Genomic DNA, 20222 nt, shown 5'->3' with positions numbered 1-20222 from the left:
TGTAACTGAACTTAAAATTTCATAGGTGACACAATTTCTTTATGCAAAGTAAAGCATCTTTCAGGTTTAACTTCTTTTTCACTGGTACATTTCTAGGCTGATACAGCAAATACATTTATGATCTATACATTTTATATTCAACTAGATACAACATTTAGCCATAACCAAATATTACTTTACATTTTCTTTCAGGAAGGTTGAAAAATATTTTATCTTTCTTAATACTTACTTTTCTTCCTGCTTTCTCTTTCTCACATTGATCCATTCTTTCTTTTAAATGATTATATTCATCCATCAGCTCCTTGTTCTTCTCTTGTAGTGAAAGAATCTGCTTTTCACTCTCAGCTTGAAGATTTTTGGCAGCAGAATGAAACTGGTCTTGGATAGTACTGATTGTCTTTTCTTGACTGTTAGCTTTCTTGTGAACATCATCCAGTTGCTGTCGAAGCAACATATTTTCACTTTGTAGTTGAGATAATCTCTCCTCTACAGATTCCTGCTTGGCAATGTATTTCTTCAGTTTGCTTTGGTACATTTGTTCAGTTTCTTTCTTCTGACACTGTGTTTGGCTGAGGTCTCTTTGCACACGTTCCAAAATCAAACTCTCTCTTCCAAGAGCATCTCTTGTGTTATGGAGCTGAATTTGTAGGCTGTTAATTTTACTTTCAGCATTAGAAAGTTTTTCAGAAAGAATCTCATTCTTAGCTTGTAGGCCAGACATATCAACCTTCATTTTGTCATGTAAACGAACCCACTCTTGTCTTGTTCTCTGGAAATCAAGTTTTAGGTCTCTTGCTGTCTGACTTTGATCACAGTCATGTACAGCAGCAGCCAGTCTACAACGGTATGATTCCATTTCTATTTCTAGTCTTTCTTGGTTCTCTTTCCCATTCTCCAGTTCAGAATTGAGCATTTTGTTCTCAGCTGTCAGATTGTTCAGCTGTCCACTGTACTGGAGTATTGTTTCTGTTAATGTTTCCTCATTTCGTTTTATAATTTTTTGAAGGTTATCATTCTTTTCTTTCACAACCTCAATGTCCTCAAAATATTTCTTTTCCTTTTGCTTGTTCTGATTTTTTATTGTATCTATTTCCAGTCTCAGCAAGGCAATTTCTTCCTGCAACATGCAATTTTCATGAAAGAGATCCTTTTCTTTCTGATGCCTATGAGAAATCTAAGTAAGAAAGGAAACATTCAGTAGCACTCAATAAAATGACAGATTATGATTTTCTCTGAAATTAAATAACCTATACATGTATACAATGAAAAGATTGCCATAAGTGGATATCCAACTGGAAAAAAATATTCTATCGAAACTTCAAACCTCATAGAGCATAAATTCCCAAAACTTCATAAGTTTATTTGAAGACAATGAATCCATGAATGTAGAACATAAATAACTAGAGAATTTTTAAGCATCTCAGAATTGGAAAAGACGGTCTCCAAATTACAACAAACTCAAAGGCATTAAAGACTAATAAATTTGACTACATTAAAAAATTGGCTTTACACTCTGACATCTAACCTATACACCACCCTATAGTAAAAGCTGTAGCTTTGCATATATCTGGACAGAGGAAATGTTCCAACGTTCTTGAAGTTCTTTTTTTCCTGAGAATATTCTATAGCTATTTATTTTTCTAACATTTTTCTCATCGGTTATATAAGAATTACATTTATTCATAAATGCTAAATCTAAGCATTATATTAGGCTTTTTTTTTTTTTCGAGATAGGGTCTCCACTCCATCACTCAGGTTAGAGGGCAGTGACGCAATCAAGACTCACTGTAGCCTTGGCCTCCCGGGCTCAGGTGATCCTCCCACTTCGGCCTCCTGGGTAGCTGAACTAGAGGCACACACCCCCACACGCAGCTAAATGTATTTGTACTTTTTGTAGAGATGGGGTTTCGCCATGCTGCCCAGGCTGGTCTGGAACTCCTGGGCTCAAGTGATCCACCCACCTCGGCCTCCCAAAGTGCTGGGATTACAGGCGTGAGCCGCTGCACCTGGCCTTGTACCAAGCACTTGTACATGTATCACTGAACTCATTTATATCACAATTCTGAAAGGAGAGGTCAAAAAATATGCAAGTTGCAGGATTTTCCCTAGGTTCCCTTACTTTACTTCTAGTGCTCTTCCACCAAACCACAATTACTTCTGTGTTGTAAATATATAAATATAAAAGACGCTTATTTCAAAACACCAGTGGTAAAAAAAGAAGTTACAGAGCTTTTCTTAGAAAATCATGAGATTATCTGTTATTACAATAACTTACGTTTCCTCTTTATAATGTCTGAAACAGAAATAAGCATGAAACAAGGTGAAATACACTGAACTATTTTTCTTTTCTCTTTTTTTTTTTTTGAGACGGAGTCTCGCACTGTCACCCAGGCTGGAGGGCAGTGGCCCAATTTCGGCTGACTGCAAGCTCCGCCACCTAGGGTTCATGCCATTCTCCTGCCTCAGCCTCCCGAGTAGCTGGGACTACAGGTTCCCGCCACCACGCCTGGCTAATTTTTTTTGTATTTTTAGTAGAGATGGGGTTTCACCGCGTTAGCCAGGATGGTCTTGATCTCCTGACCTCGTGATCCACCCGCCTCAGTCTCCCACACACTGAACTATTTTTCTAAGAAAAAACACTTACCAATAAATTATCACCAAGTTTATATTATGGCATATCATTGTTTTCAAAGCTCTTTGCACTGAAATGAGACACTACTTGGAGCAAACTGTTACTCTCCTCAAAAGTAAGGGAAACGGCTTCTGAAGTACGGCCTCTGAACTGGCTATACATTTCATCCTTACTGCAAGTGGAAATAATAATCTAACCTCTCCATTAATATATTAGGAAGATGAAATAATGTCTGAAAACTAGAACGTCTGTTGTTAGTAGCAAGGATTTTGAGATTGTGGAAAGATCATTAATTCTATGAAAAATAACAAATGTTTCTCCTTTGGATAAGGCCACTGTGAATGTCACTACTTGACTCTTGCAAACAAATGGAGTTGAATTAAGAACATGACTTTATTCAATGAGCCAAAAATGCCAGAACCACCATCACCACCCCCAAATGTGTGTGTGTGTGTGTGTGTGTGTGTGTGTGTGTGTGTAGTTCAAAAATCCATTGTACTTTCCAAGTTGCACAGAGTTGTTTTTTAAAAATATATTCACATACAAAAATATATTTGAAAATGACTAAAGAAAATACCTCAGGATTCCTTTTCTTCTGAGCCATTTCTAGTTCCTTTTGTTTACTCGTCAGAATCTGATCTTGTAATATTCTGGCATCCTGTTCTTCAGAAAGTTGCTTCTGGGCATCGTTTCTCTCCTGCACAACCTAGAGATGACATGGAGGTTTTGGTCTAATAGCACTGAAAAAGAAAATCTAAAAGGTTAAGAGCAGAGCCTCTCTTATAAAACGGTTAAAAAGAAGTAGCCTGTTAAAACACAAGAACTTTTATCCCTCAAGAATCACTCAAATCTTAATTGCATACATGACAGCTAAATCTGTCAAAGAGGAAAAACAGTTCTTAACTACGAGAAGATACAGCATTGTGAAATAAAATTTCTTTCAAAACATTTAACTAGTGTCCTTATAGTTTCAAAGCTATTTAGCCTGTATTTTAACATAAAAAATGTGTAAATGAACAGCTATATTAGTAATTAAACTCAACTTATCCTCCACTCTAAAAACACAGACTGAGCATCTATTAGATGACAAGGTTTACAGTAAATAATTTTATCTATAAATGTCATAGTTCATTCTTAAGAGGAAATAACAGTTTTGGTTTATTTTAAACCTAAATGATATACATGAAGGCAAAAAATTATAAGTAATACCGATGAAACATAAAGTTAGAAAAATGAAGTTTACACCAAAGATTAATTTACCAGATCCAAGTTATTTCTTACTGTCCTCAATTCCTTAACAAGTCTTCTCAGATTCCATTTAAGTTGTTGCTTTGTTTCAACCACTTTCCCACACTCCTCTTCTTTTATTCTTAACTGTTCACTATCTTTATTATACAACATATCGGCATTTCTTTTCTCCTCATTTTCTTGTTTTAAGGCAAGTCTGCAGTTAAACATGGATTACATTAAAATGTGTTTTGTTAAAAAATAAAAAAGTTTATTCTGTGATCTGGCTCTTCCCATGTGGGTTTATTATCCTCATAAAAACTCCTATGCTCTTGTTTCCTTTCTAGTTCTCATGTTTTTAATTTCTCACTTCGATCTCTTCCAAGGGACATATATATTTGAGAGGTAGTGAGGAAAGAAATATTCCATTAACTGGTAAGTTTCTGTTACTAGTAACCCTGGTAAATATTATGGAAAAGCATATTTGAAATTTTTCAGTAAAGTTACAAGTTGAAAATTACTTCTTTTTCACGTTATGCAAGTTGAAAATTAATTAGATCATTTAGAGTTAATTTAAAAGAAGTTACTGTTTACAAACAAGTTTAGAAATTCACTAGAAATGCATTTTCGTCTTCATGGAATAGTGTATGTGTAGTCATAAAAATGATTTACAGTGTAAGATAACACCTTCAGATGTCATTCACACAACATGTATCTGCAGATTACTATAATCCAAGACTAGCCTAAGCTGTCTATAACTGTTACCCCATCCTTTTTATGTTTCTCTTTTGGGTAACACTTTCAACTTATCTTCTTGATTCTTAAGTATTTCATCACCAATTTTAAAATCCCTTTTTGGAACAAGACAGGATCTAATATTTAGTTTAAAAGTAAAGGATAATATGTGTTTCAACAATGAATTTGGAATTAATTTTATCTGCATATGAGAGATATGGAATAAAATAATCATCAATTACTGTCCATTTTACTTATTTCGTGCATATTTAGAATAAAACTGGGAAGTCCTAGCCAGAGCAATCAGGTAAGAGAAATAAATAAAGGGCATCCAAATTGGAAAAGACAAAGTCAAACTATCTCTGTTTTAGCTTAGAAAACCCTAAAGACTCCTAGATTTAATCAATGAAATCAGTAAAAGTCTCATGTTACAAAATCAATGTACACAAATCAGGAGCACTAGTAAACATCAAGAACGACCAAGGTGAGAATCTAATCAAGAACCTAATCCCTTTTACAACAGCTGCAACAACAACAACAACAACAAAAACCTAGGAATATACTTAACCAAGGAGGTGAAAGATCTCTAAAAGGAGAATTAGAAAGCACTGCTGAAGGAAATCATAGATGACACAAACAAATGGAAATATGCCCTATGTTCATAGATTAGAAGAATCAATATAGTGAAAATGATCATATTAACCAAAGCAATCTACAGATTCCATGCAATTCCTATTAACATACCACTGTCATTCTTCACAGAATTAGAGAAAGTACCCCTAAAATTCACAGGGAATCAAAAACGAGCCTGAATAGCCAAAGCAATCCCAAGCAAAAAGAACGAAGCCAGAGACATCACATTACCAGATCTAAAACCATATGACAAGGCTAAAGTAACCAAAACAGCATGGTACTTGTATAAAAAAGTACATACGTAGACCAATGGAACAGAATAGAGAACCTAGAAATAAAGCCAAATATGTATAACCAACTGACCTTTCACAAAGCGTACAAAGACATAAACTGGGCAAAGAACACCCTATTCAATAAATGGTGTTGGGAAAATTGAATAGCCACATGTAGAAGAATGAAACTGGATCCCTATCTCTCAACATATATAAAAATTAACTCAAGATGGATTAGGCCTAACATGTGGCTCACATCTGTAATCCTGGTACTTTGGGAGGCCAAGGCAGGAGAATGACTTGAGCCCAGAAGTTTGAGACTAGCCTGGGCAACATAATGAGACCTCATGTCTACCAAAAAAAAAAAATGTGTGTGTATATATATATGAAACTACCTACTGAGGTACAATGTGTACTACTCAGGTGATGGGCACACTAAAATCCCAGAGTTCACCACCATACACTTCATCCATTTAACCAAAAACATATATATATATATATATATATATATTTTTTTTTTTTTTTTTTTTTTTGAGACAGAGTCTTGCTCTGTCACCCAGGCTGGAGTGCAGTGACATGGAGGCCAAGGTGGGAGAATCACCTGAGGTCAGGAGTTCAAGACCAGCCTGACCAACAGGGAGAAACCTTGTCTTACTAAAAATACAAAATTAGCCAGGTATGGTGGCAATGCCTTTAATCACAGCTACTCAGGAGGCTGAGGCAGGAGAATAGCTTGAACCCGGGAGGCAGAGGTAGCCATGAGCCGAGATCACGCCATTATACTCCAGCCTGGGCAACAAGAGTGAAACTCTGCCTCAAAAAAAAAAAAGAAAAGAAAAGAAAAGAAAAGAAAAGGCTTCTGCACAGCAAAAGAAATAATCATCAGAGTAAGAGAACCTACAGCATAGGAGAAAATATTTGCAAACTATGCATCTGACAAAGGACAAACAAATCAGCAAGAAAATGCAAATAATCCCATCAAAAAGTACACAAATGACATGAACATTTTTCAAAAGAAGATGCACAAATGGCCAAAAAACATATTTAAAAATGCTCAACAGCACTAATATTCACAGAAATACAAACTAAAACAACAAGGAGATATCACCTTACTCCAGCCAGAATGCTCATTATTAAAAAGTCAAAAAACAATAGATGTTGGTGCAGATGTGGTGAAAAGGAAATGCTTATACACTGCTGGTGGAAATGTAAATTAGTACAACCTCTATGAAAAACAGTAGACAGATTTCTCAAACAACTAAAATAGAGCTACCATTCAATCCAACAATCCCCTACTGGGTATCTACCCAAAGGAAAAGAAATCATTATATCAAAAAAAAAACACCTGCAAACGTATGTCTATTGCAGCACATTTCACAACTGCGAAGATACGGAATCAACCTAAGTGTCCATCAACCAATGAATGGAATAAATAATATGTGGTATATATATGTCATGGAGTACTACTCAGCCATAAGAAGAATGAAATAATGTCTTTTGCAGCAACTTGGAAGGGACTGGAGGCCATTATTCTAAGTGAACTAACTCAGGAATGGAAAGCCAAATAAAACCACATTCTCACTCATAATAGGGAGTTAAGCTATGGGTGCACAAATGCAGACAGAGTAGTATAATGGACATCGGAGAATCAGAAGTGGGAGAGTGTGGGAGGAGGATGAGGGATGAGAAACTACCTACTGAGGTACAATGTGTACTACTCGGGTGATAGGCACACTAAAATCCCAGACTTCACCACCATACAATTCATCCATTTAACCAAAAACCACTTGTATACCTAAAGCTATGAAATTAAAAAAAAGTTTTCAAAAAGAATAAAACTGTATAAATTTTTTGAAAATTACTTTGGGTTTAGAAAAGTGACCAGTTCATGCTCTGTTGCTTGAACTATAAATTAACACAAACATTCTTGTGAAAAATTAAGAAATGTTGATCAGAGGTCTTTTTAAAAAGTTCCTATATTTCAACCAATAATTCTATATTGGAGAATTTATTCAAAGCAAACAGTTTAGGAATGTAGAAAAACATTTATATAAAAAATGTTCTGGGCTGGGCATGATGGCTCATGTCTGTCATACTAATGATTTGGGAGGCCAATTTTGCAGAAGTAATGCTTGAGGTTGGGAATTGGAGATCATCCTGAGCAACATAGTGATACCCCGTCTCTACAAAACACTTAAAAAGTTAGCCAAGCATGAGAATGTGCACCTGGAGTCCCAACTACTTAGGACGCTGAGGCAGGAGGATGGAGTTCAAGGCTGCAGGGAGGTATGATCACACCAGTGAACTCCAGTTCCAGGCACAGAGACCCTGTGTCTACAAATAATAGTAACGATAAAAGATGTTCCTTACATCATTAATTATAAATACAAGATAATTTTAAAACCCAAATTACAATTTGTTAAATGAGTAACAAGATTTTATATGGTGGACTTCTATATGGCCATTTAGATTGCAAAGAATATACATTTATTTATTAGAAGAGTTCACAGTTAATAATTTGTTTTATTATTTCCAAGAATTTCATATCCCACAAGACCAAAAAGGTTTCTCCCCCATTAATCTGCAGAAGGTAAGTCAGCAGTTACAAAAATTCTGATATATTGTCTTTAGTATAAATATTTCTTTAGAACTAGAACATCATACCTCAAATCGTACAGCTCTTTCTCCCATTCAATTTTTTGAAGTTCTAACTGTAATTTTGTCTTTTTTGTTTCAGATAGCTCATTTTGTAGTACACTGACCATATTTTCCATTTGTTTAAGTTTTACTGTAAGTTGGTCACAGTGATTATTCTTAAGTTTCAGTAAGTGTTCACACAAACAAAATGTGTCTTTCTTGGATTCTTGGTAGGCTAGCAGAATCTGTGTCAGGGAGAAAAGGTAGAAATAAAATATATGAGTACTTTTAGGTATTAAAAAACTGTGCATTTTTAACATTGTCTCCTTCATACATTGAACACATATGCACTGAGTGCCTACAAAGTGGGAGACATTCTACTAAGCTCTGCAGATAAAACAGATAAGACCTCTACTCTCATTTAGCCTTAAGTGAAGTAAGGAACAAACACAACAAAAATGACAATTATAAATTCAGATATATGGTGTAAGAAAACAGAGTTCTATGATCACACAGAAGAATTTGATCTATAATGGGCCCAGGGAAGATTCCCCTGAGGAACAGATGGCTACACTGAGAAATGAAGGGTGAGAAGGAAGCAGTTAAGCAAAGGGGTAGAAAAGCATTCTTGCCAGTCGACAGCAGGTGCTGAAGCTCTGCTGGAATCTGCTTCTGGCCACAATGGACAGCAAGTACTGATTTACCTTCTGGCCTGAAACAACCAAAAAGAAAACAGACAAAATATATTATACAATGATTTACCAGGCAGTGGACTTCAGGTAATGAAGACAATGATCCCCGTAAGACAGGAAACAAAGGAAATTCATCCAACACTCCAGCTCCCTGCCTTCACGGAGTTTCCAGGCTACCGCACAGAGAGAAAAAACTGACATAGAGTCCACCAGATTCCCTGAGATGAGATGATGAAGCTGAGAGTCTGGTAAAGCCAAGGCACACAGAGATCACAAAACAGAACACCGGAAAGGAGACAAAGTACAGGGAAAGAACACTGAAGATTTGCAAAAATACCTCCTGGGTATCTAGCAGAGTAACAAACAGCACATGTGTGCCAGAAAACCGCCCCAGATCAAGGGGAAAAAAACATCTAAAAAACACTGGAAAGAAACATGTCTGGTGTTCACGATGTGCCAAAAAGAGTGTCCATTCCCATGAGTGATGCTGGGAAAACTCAGACTTCGCATGGCAATGAATAGAGTCATCACAAAGATCTTGCCTCAGGAGCAGGAAATTAGACCAATCATAAAAGCAAGATCAGAAAGATCAAGCTGTTCATATGGAACTCAACTGTATATTAAAATTAAGCTCAAGCAGACAGGCAGAGGCATGGAAGATTTTTCTTTAAAGCAAACTACACTTGTAGAGATTCAAATTACAATGTCAGGAATGAAAGCTAAAATGGATGGAGGTGAACACAGATTAGACATCACCAAAGAGAAGATTCATAAATTTGAGACATCAGTGAACTATGAGAAAACTTCAAGCAGGAATAAGTCCCCAAAGAGGGAAAAAGAGAGACAGAAAAATAAAAAAAGAATGGCCAAAACTTTCTAAATGTAAAGAAAACTATAATCCTACAAATCCAGAAGTATCTGGCTGGGAGAGAGGAAATGAAAGTATACTATTCCAATTTTCTTTTTTAAAAAATTTCAATAGCTTTTGGGGTAACAGGTGGTCCTTGGTTACATGAATAAGTTCTTTAGTGGTGGTTTCTGAGATTTTGGCGCACCCATCACCCAAGCAGCATACACTGGATCCAATCCGTAGTCTTTTGTCCCTCACCCCCCTCCCACTCTTTCCCCACAAGTCCCCAACCTGTATCATTTTTATGCCCCTGCATCCTCATAGCATAGCTCCCACTTACAAGTGAGAACATACAATGTTTGGGTTTTCATTCATAATTTTCTTATGCCATATATGATATGCCATAATATTTTTTGAAGATGGACTGTGATGTTAAAATCATATACTATAAATTGTAGTGCAACTGCTAAGATAGAAAAAAATAGTTATCGCTAATAAGCCATAAAAGGGAGATAAAAATAAATCATAAAAATTACTGGACTAATTGAGAAGAAAGCAGAAAAAGAAGAGAACAAAGAACTGGGGGGACCAATGGAAATCAAACAGCTTGATGACAGACAAATTTCACTGTATCAATAAGCACATTATAAATGGAACTGGCCTAAAAATCTCAATTAAAAGGCAGATTGTCAGACTGGATAAAAAGGCAAGAACCTACTCCATGCTTCCTATTAAAAAAAGCACTTTAAATGTAAAAACATAAATTGTTCAAAAGAATGGAAAAAGATATATCAGGCTAAGAGTTGACAAAAGAAGCCTGAGAAGAAATGGCTATGTTAATACCAAAGTAGATTTCACACCAAAAAAAAAAAAAAAAATTACCAGCTATAAACAGTCATTTCCTAATGACTTTTAAAAGTTCAGTTAATCGGCTGGGCGCGGTGGCTCATGCCTGTAATCCTAGCACTTTGGGAGGCCGAGGCAGGTGGATCACGAGGTCAGGAAATCGAGACCATCCTGGCTAACATGGTGAAATCCCGTCTCTACTAAAAATACAAAAAAAAAAAAAAAAAATTCAGTTAATCAAGAACGTGTAATCTCAAATGTTTGTGCACCTAATAACAGCTTCAAAATATATGAGGCAAAAATCAATAGACGAAATAGACAAATTCACAAGTACATCTGAGATTTGAATATCACTTACTCAATAAGTGATAAAACAAGGGAGCTGCAAATCAGCAAGAATGGAGCACACTTGAACAACACCATGCTTCTCAAGTACCCAGTGAGCACTTACCAAACAGACCACATTCTAGGTTCTGCAATCAATCTTTTTTTTTTTTTTTTTGAGACGGAGTCTCGCTCTGTCGCCTAGGCTGGAGTGCAGTGGCGGGATCTCGGCTCACTGCAAGCTCCGCCTCCCGGGTTCATGCCATTCTCCTGCCTCAGCCTGCCACCACGCCCGGCTAATTTTTTGTATTTTTAGTAGAGACAGAGTTTCACCGTATTGGTCAGGATGGTCTCGATCTCCTGACCTCGTGATCCATCCGCCTCAGCCTCCCAAAGTGCTGGGATTACAGGCGTGAGCCACTGCACCCGGCCTGCAATCAATCTTAATGAAAGAATTAAGTCAGAAAGATTTAAGTCATACAAAGTATGTTCCCTGACCACATGGCAATCAAATCACAAATTAGTAACAAAATATCTCATCAAAATATTCAAATATTTTAAAACAAAGTAATACACATCTAAATAACCCTAGGTCAAAGACACGATGCAAAGAGAAATTAGAGAGTATTTTGAACTGAATGAAAATGAAAATACTACATATCAGGATTTGTGGAACACAGCTACAACAGTACTTAAAATTTTTTAGCACTTAATGTCTATATTAGAAGACTCTCAAGTCAATGGTCTTGACTTTTATCTTAAGAAACTAAAAAAAGAGAAGAAACTAAAAAAGAAGAAGAACAAATTAAACTCAAAGCAAGCAGAGGAAATGATACAATAAGCATCTGGTATTGTCTGACATTTGCATCCTCCCAGAACTCATATGCTGAAACTTAATCACAGAGGTGATGTTATCAGAAGGTGGGGCTTTGTGGAGGTAATTAGCTCATGGGAGCCAAGCCCTCATTAGTGGGATTAGTGCCCTTATATATATAGACCCCAGAGGGCTCATTCACCTGTTCTGCCATGTGAGGACACAGGGGGAAAAAAGAGATCTATGAACCAGGAATTGGTCTCTCACCAGACACCAAATCTGCCAGCACCTAGATCTTGGACTTTTGTGAGAAATCTATTTCTGTTGTTTATAAGCTACCCAGTCTATGGTATTTTGTTATAGCAGGCCGAACAGACCAAAACATCAAAGATGAAACCAATAAAACGGAAAAACAATAGGAAAAAAATCAATAAAACCACACACTTTGAGGAGGTCAATAAAAGTGATAAAACTCTAGCCAGGTTGATCATAAAAAAGAAGATGCAAATTACTAACTTCAGAAACATAGTAACATGACATTTTTATAGATTCTACAGATACTAAAAGAATACAAATATAATAAGGTAAGCTTTATGTGACTAAACATGACAACTTTGATAAAATGGACACTTGCCTTGAAAAACAAAAATTACCAAGGTCCAATTTAAGAAGGAATAACATGAACTGTCCTATATCTATAAAAGAAAGCATAAGTAAAGCCTTCCTAGAAAGAAAACTCCAGGCCCAGATAGCTATGCTGGTGAATTCTACCAAATATTTAAGAAGCAATATAACAATTTTACATGACCTCTCCCCCTGCCCTCAAAAAAAAAATAGAGGAGAAATACAACTCATTCTGTCCCTCTAGCATTACCCTGAACCAAAATCTGACTCCCTCATGAACATGGACGTAAAAATGTAACCAGTTTCTCAAAAAACCAAGATATCCTCCTTTAGGTGAGTGAACAACTTCTGGTACAGCCATGCGATAATGAGCTATCATGCCATGAGAAGACATGAAGGAACCACAAAGGCATATTACCAAGTGAAAGATGCCAGTCTAAAGGCTACACGCTGTCTGATACCAACTAAATGACATTTTGGAAAAGGCAAAACTACAGACACAGTAAAAAAAGTCAGTGGTTGCCAAGAGTTGGGGAGGGAAGGTGGGAAAAGATGAACAGATGAAGCACAAAGGAGTTTTAAAGCTCTGAAATTACTTTGGATAATACTACAATGATAAATACATGTCCTTATACTTTTGTCCAAATTCACAGAATATAAGACACCGAGAATGAACCCTAATATAAACTATGGACTTTGGGTGATTATGATTATCAATTCAGGAACATCAATGAGATCAAGTGTAGCACTCTGGTGAGGATATTGATAATTGTGGAGGCTATGCACGTGTGGGGGCAGGGAGTACAGGGATAATCTCTGTGCCTTACTTTCAATTTTGCTGTGAAGCTAAAACTACTCTAAAAAATAGTCTTTTAAAACGCTCTAAATAAAGCTTTGGCAAATCAAATCCAATGATACATTAGAAGGATAATACATCATAAACAAGTGGGGTGTATCCCTAAATACACGGTTTGTTTGACATTAAAATATAAGTATTCACCACATTAAAAAACTAAAAGAGAAGAACCATATGATCATCTCAGTAGATAGAGGCATTTGATAAAATACAACATTCATTCCTGATTTAAAAAAAAAAAACCCCTCTCAGTAACTAAAGAATACAAGGGAACGCCATCAGCATGATAAAGAGCATCTCTGATAAACCTACAACTAACATGTGTCATGATGAATAACTGAATGCTTTCCCTGTAAGATCGGGAACAATACAGGAATGTCTCCTTTCACTATTCTAGTCAGCATTGCACTGAAGCCAGTGCAGTTAGGAAAGAAAAGGAAATAAAAGCTACCTGAGTTGAAAAGAAGAAGTAAAACTGTCTGTATTCACAATCATGATCACATAATAGGGATGGGTAAAATCCAACCTGCGGGGCAGCTTCTTATTTTTGCAAATAAAGTTTTAATGGAATGCAGTTGTGTTTTTTAACATATGTATTGTCTATGGCTGGTCTCATACTACAATGGCAGAGTTGATTGGCTGTGACAGAGACCATTTCATCACAAGTTTAAAATATTTACTATGTTTAGTAAGATAACAGTTTGAAAATGAAAAGGTTTGACTATCTTTGGTGTATGTAAAAAAGCTGATTGAATCGAATCTCAATTTTAAATGTTCATAAGCTACCCAGATTGGAAAAGACAGTTCACAGGTGGCAAATAAGCATATACAAGATGCTCAACATTATTAGTCCTTAGGGTAATGCACATTAAAACCATAATGATATGCATAATACACACCCATCAGAATGGCTAAAATTTCAAAATTTAAAAACAGCAATAATAAGAGCTTGTGATGATACAGAACAACAAGAAATGTCGTATACCTCTGGTTGGAATGCAAAATCAATACAAATACTTTGGAAAACAATTTAGCAGTTTCTTAATAAAGAAAGACAAAGGGACAAGAAGAGACTTTTATGGATGATGAACATGTTAACTCTCCTGATTATGGTGGTTTCAAATGTGCACACGATTGTATATTTTATATACGTGCAGTCTATCATATATCAGTTATACCTCACTGAAGCTATCAGTGCTGGAACAAACATATAAGACACAGAGTGGGACACAGAGAAAGAGAAGAGTAAAAACGATGCAGGATAAAGCTAGAGGATTCAGATCTCTAACCTTACAGCAATAAGAAGTAGTAGCTGAGTTATAAGCAAAGGAGTAACATGATCAGATCCAAATTTTTAAAAATTTGTCATTATGATTGCAGAGTAGACCATGGTTTTAGGAGGTGGGGTATTTGGGAAAACAGTTCTAAGATTCCTAAGATTCTCGCAGCATTCCAGGTGGAGAAAAAAATGGTAACCTGACATTGGGGGAAGGAATAGGAGAGAAAGAGTCAACAAAAAGACTGGGAATGCCACTCACACTGAGAGAAGTACAGTGGAGTTATCATAGCTCTTTGGCGTAGAGTATAAGCTAGTTCTCTATTTTAACACTGAGCGTATTTCTGAGATGAGCTTCACTATCACACATCAGTTCTCAGCAATGTATACACACATTACTGCAGGATACATCAAAAGGCCTTGCATTTATGCAGTGGTCCTACCTTTATACTCCATTCTAAGTTGTTCAATCAGCAACATAAAATTCTCATAAACAGAGTGAGACAATTCACAATCCTCCGAGGCTATTTCAGATGGCTCCATTGAGTCAGCAAAGTCAGCCTCAGGATATATTTGGTTTTTGACCTATAAGATAAATAATACTGTTTCAAAATGTCCTCGAAAGATTTATAGCATATACTAAAGGTACAGAAGCGGTATTTCTCCATTTTTTTTGTATGAGCAAAAATACAGGTACTTCTTAAAGCAACAGATTGTTCTTAAAAGGTACCATTATCAACGGTTACTGTTTCTTCATCACTTTTTCTAAGCAAACAGCCTTACAACAAAACATCTTGTTTTTTTCATTTTTACCTTTTAGAACTTGTTTTTTTAAAACAATATTTTAGATCATTTCCTTTTTTACAATACCTCGTTCTTTTCATTAGATGTTTTATCTGCAGGCCTGAAAAAAAAAAAAACAATTCCTCTTAGAAAAATAGCAAAGATTTAAAATACAAAGAATATCTAACACTACTGTTTTATCATATAAAATGTCTGCATTTGTGTTACTTCTATTCATCAAGTGTATAGGTAATTTTTTTACAGGTAATGTAAAATGCAGTAATTTTCTACAACGGACATTAAACTATAAACAGAAACAGCAACATTAAGGGATAAAGAAATTTACTACTACTAATATAATTACAAAGAATTAAATTTAGGTCAAGATTTCTCATAGTAAAACCAAAAGAAAAAAATATGTTACCTGCATTACGTGATAAAAATAAATATACCAGGGTCTTCTCATTGTTGTCCTTTTCAATAAAAACAAGCTTTTACGGGCACTAAAACCTATTTGGAAAATATTACTCACATTCTTATATAAGGGAAACCCTTTTTTAATGATGATATTAGTAAGCTTTTTCTGGACTTACTATGCAGGTACTGTGCATCATTCTGAGCACTGTCCATGTGTCAAACTCATATAATCCTCATAACAATTCTGTGAGGTCAGTAACATATTAAGAATTTTATAAAGAAAGAAAATAGGCACAGAAGGGCCAAGTGACTGTCCTCAGCCCATACAGCTGGTCAGTAGCAGATCCAGAACTCAAACCCAAGAATTCTGCCTCAAAAACATGTGCTTCATGATATGCTGTGAAGGTAACATTTATTTTCAAGTGTTTTAAAGAGAGATGATAGCAGATGAACCCACATTGTCATTCCATTTCTGACTACAACTATAAATAATGTCAGAATCTTGCAATTTTTTCTAATAAAAAAACTTTATACAGAGGCAAGTTTAGAAAACTACTTTCAAAAAACTAAAAAGTATTTTTAATGAAATCCATCAACAGGTATTCATTCATGTATTCACCCATTCATTCACGCATTCAACAAATAAATACTCATTGAGCACACAATACATGCTGATGGCAATGTTGGTCAAGGGAAACATGGTTTTGATACTTCAGAACTTTATAATCCATTGTAGGTCAACTTGATTAAATATTTTTAAAAAAAACTTTATAGGCCAGGTGCAGTGGCTCACGCCTGTAATCTCAGCACTTTGGGAGGCCAAGGTGGATGGATCACGAGGTCAGGAGTTCAAGACCAGCTTTCCCAAGATGATGAAACCCCGTCTCTACTACAAATACAAAAATTAGCTGGGCACGGTGGCGGGCGCCTGCAATCCCAGCTACTCAGGAGGCTGAGACAGGAGAATCGCTTGAATCTGGGAAGTGGAGATTGCAGTGAGCTAAGATTGTGCCACTGCACTCTAGCCTGGGTGAAAGAGCAAGACTCTGTCTCAAAAAAAAAAAAACAAAAAAAACAAAAAAAACAAAACTTTATAATCCAGAAGTAATAATCTGATAGACTGTCAACAGTTAGCTTTTCTAAAGTACTTAAACAAAACCCTCCCCTTCTCCCCAGAATCTAAACAACTGTAAAGTTGATACTCCTGACATTTTAGAGTACCTCAGCAGATCATACCTATTCATCAGGGATGTTTAAATTCTATTCAGTATGGCCTAAGTGTTTGCATGTTTATTATTTCATAATTAAAAACAATCTGCATATGATAGTTTAAATTTTAGGTCACCATTCACAGGTTCAGTTATGCTAATATGTTACATTTCTGAACCAATGCTGAAGGAACAAACTCTTACCATAAAACTCTACATGAATAAACACTTTAAGGACAATTAGTTTGCTAAAAACCTACAAAAGATAATGAACCGAGCTTTCAAACACTTAGACATACAAAATTAAATCTCATAAACATGTTATCCTTGTCCCTATCATTCCCAGCAGCATACAAACACACTCTAAAAGCTTCTATTTTGAAATAAAAAAGAAAGAAAATTCCCTTGAATCCCACATTCTTCTTCAGTTATCACTCATTTCTCTGTTGCCTTTCCCAATAACGGTTCCCTCAAGGGGTATCTATGCTTATCCACTACAGTCAGGATTCCACAGCAATTATTTATTGAAACTGCTCCTTGTCAAAGTTACCAGCCCTCATCATAATCAGTCTTTCAGCATTGATATAGTTGAGTATTCTCTAGCTTTGGCAGACTACACTATTTTCTATTTCCAGAAAAAGTAACCACTGGGAATATTCCTTCTCAGAGAAATAAAGAACTTATACATTTTAACTTCTTTCAACCTCATCTATTTCACTTAAACTGCTGTCATCATCTCCTTGTAGCAGACCACAAGTTACTAAATTAGCCTTCTCAAACACTGGTGTAATCAGAGATTATTTTAGAGATTATTTTGAGGTACATTTTTTATTTTCATTTTTCTTTACTTCCTTCATATGTAACGCAGAACCACAACTTTAAAAAATCTACAAAAAGCCAATGTTTTATAATAATTCTACTGATAACAAATAAAAAAAATTTTGTAAAATTCCAATTCTTCCCCATCTCAATTCATTAATTCAAAAAACACAGTTATGAATTATCAACAACATATAAAGAAATATATATTTCCTGCCTCAAAAACCAGGTAATATGCAATTATGATACAATGTGTAGTTTAAGAGTTGATATATGGAAAGTTATATTTTAGCACAAGGAAGTCATTACAGAAGAGGCAAAATATAAGAGGAGCTCACCAGGGAAAAAATAGAGAAAACTACTCCACTTGGAGAATGGAATGACAGCACAAAGATTAGTCCCATGGAGTCTAGGTGTTTCCTAGGAACTTGAAAGGAAAAGTGTAAAACACAAAGAAAGTAAGAATGGAAGATGAATGCCACACTAAAAAGCTGGAGTCAGCTGGGTGCGGTGGCTCACACCTGTAATCCCAGCACTTTGGGAGGCTGAGGCGGGCGGATCATGAGGTCAATGGATCAAGACCATCCTGGCCAACATGGTGAAGCCCATCTCTACTAAAAATACAAAAATTAGCTGGGCATGGTGGCGCACCTGTAGTCCCAGCTATTCGGGAGGCTGAGGCAGAAGAATCGCTTGAAGCCAGGAGCTGGAGGTTGCAGTGAGCTGAGATTGCCACTGCACTCCAGCCTGGTGACAGAGTGAGACTCTGTCACAACGAAAAAAGAAAAGAAAAAAAAAAACAGCTGGCCGGGCGCAGTGGCTCACGCCTGTAATCCCAGCACTTTGGGAGGCCGAGGCGGGCGGATCATGAGGTCAGGAGATCGAGACCACGGTGAAACCCCGTCTCTACTAAAAATACAAAAAATTAGCTGGGTGCGGTGGCGGGTGCCTGTAGTCCCAGCTACTCGGGAGGCTGAGGCAGGAGAATGGCGGGAACCCAGGAGGCGGAGCTTGCAGTGAGCTGAGATGGTGCCACTGCACTCCAGCCTGGGCGACAGAGCGAGACTGCGTCTCAAAAAAAAAAAAAAAAAAAAAAAAACAGCTGGAGTCCACTGCACACAGGCAATGACTCTCACACATGAAACTCATATTTAGATCTGTGCTATGTTTTGGGTTTTGTTTTTAAATATAATAATGTTTAAACAGATTAACCAAGTTTTAAAAATAACAGGCACATATTACATGAAAGAAATCAAGGAAATGTCTCGGGAAGAAAAAAATCTTAGTGTTAAAATTCCTAAATGTCATTATAGTCATTATATATTGTTCAAAAATAGCAATATTCTGATTAGTTATATGTTTGTTTGAAAATAAAATAATTTGGTAAATTTCCCACATATTTAGTCTAGTACTTAGTCTTAATATAAAAAGGTGGATTTGCCAGCAGAAAATTGTAATTACTTTTTTATGAAGTAAACACACATTATATCACTATCATTGCATGGAAGAGAAGGTGAACAAAAAAAGATTAAGGAATAAAAAAAAGAATATCACTATCATATAACTACATACATTAACAAAGAGACAAACATTTCCCACTGGAGATTAGGAGTTTAGCAGAAGTCTCTGAAAATACTAAAAACTGAAACAAAATTAATAATTGCTTTTTGTTTGTTTGTTTGCTTGTTTTTTAACTATGTAGCGAATTCTTCTGGTTAAGACTAAGCATCAAAAAAAGAGATCTTCCTGAGAGCAATTATTAAACAATTCCTCTTGACCCACACTTCCAAATTAAGTCTATAGTTCTGGAATATGAAATCATTTTCATTTTAAACATAGTTGATGGAAGGCAACTTTTAAACAGAAAACTGCAGTTTAAAGTTGTCTCAAACTTAGTAGCTATATTTGTAACAAGCAACCACCCACAGCCAGTTGTAAATACAGTCAATCATCAGTGACCATTGGCCTCTCTCACCAACCAATATCAATGTGGACCACTTGCTTCGGAAAGACAGCCAATTAAACACAAACTCACTCCAATCCACAAGCCTGGGAGTGTTAACCAACCCACAGCAGCCTCACTCAGATAGCCATGTTTCTCCAGATGATGTTAACCCTCCTATGCCGCTGAGAGTCTGCCAATGCTTCAAGTCCGCTCCTCCTGCAACCCTATGTAAGATCAACAGCTGCTCTGTCAGAATACAGAGTGCCTGATGAGCATAGCTCTCTTATAGAAAGCAACACATTCCAACTTGGTCTTTTAACTTCAAATACTGAAGGTTCATAATCAATTGGAAACAATTTTAAGTCCATTAAATTTACCACCCTTATATTTTAATTTTCTTTATAAATTACCAATGAACTATGTAATTCCTTTGATCCATTTTATCATAAGTAAAACTATCATGATTATTAGTAAAAGAATAAATAGTGAGTAACCACAATATTGAGCTTTTCTCTCTAAATGGAAAACTATTAATACAAAGAATGTAGCTTATTACAAAGAGCCAAAAAATCCAAAAACGCATATAATTTCCAGGCAAAAGTGTTAGAATGAACCCATGTGAAACCTTTCTT

General features: G+C 36.0%; 1 pseudogene across 1 annotated transcript in view; it reads right to left on the bottom strand.

The window, feature by feature from the left end:
- CCDC144CP (coiled-coil domain containing 144C, pseudogene) overlaps positions 1 to 20222 on the bottom strand; it is an 81018-nt pseudogene that overhangs the window by 35932 nt on the left and 24864 nt on the right. Inside the window, exons 7-12 of the transcript NR_023380.1 lie at positions 15289 to 15322; positions 14862 to 15003; positions 8164 to 8381; positions 3893 to 4076; positions 3210 to 3338; positions 230 to 1174 (exon numbers count right to left, since the gene is read on the bottom strand). The product of NR_023380.1 is annotated as a coiled-coil domain containing 144C, pseudogene (transcript). The remainder of the gene's footprint in view (positions 1 to 229; positions 1175 to 3209; positions 3339 to 3892; positions 4077 to 8163; positions 8382 to 14861; positions 15004 to 15288; positions 15323 to 20222) is intronic.

Source organism: Homo sapiens, chromosome 17 (genome assembly GCF_000001405.40).
Source record: "Homo sapiens chromosome 17, GRCh38.p14 Primary Assembly".
In the NCBI taxonomy this organism is placed as follows: Eukaryota; Metazoa; Chordata; class Mammalia; order Primates; family Hominidae; genus Homo; species Homo sapiens.
This window is presented reverse-complemented; position numbering and strand designations above follow the sequence as displayed.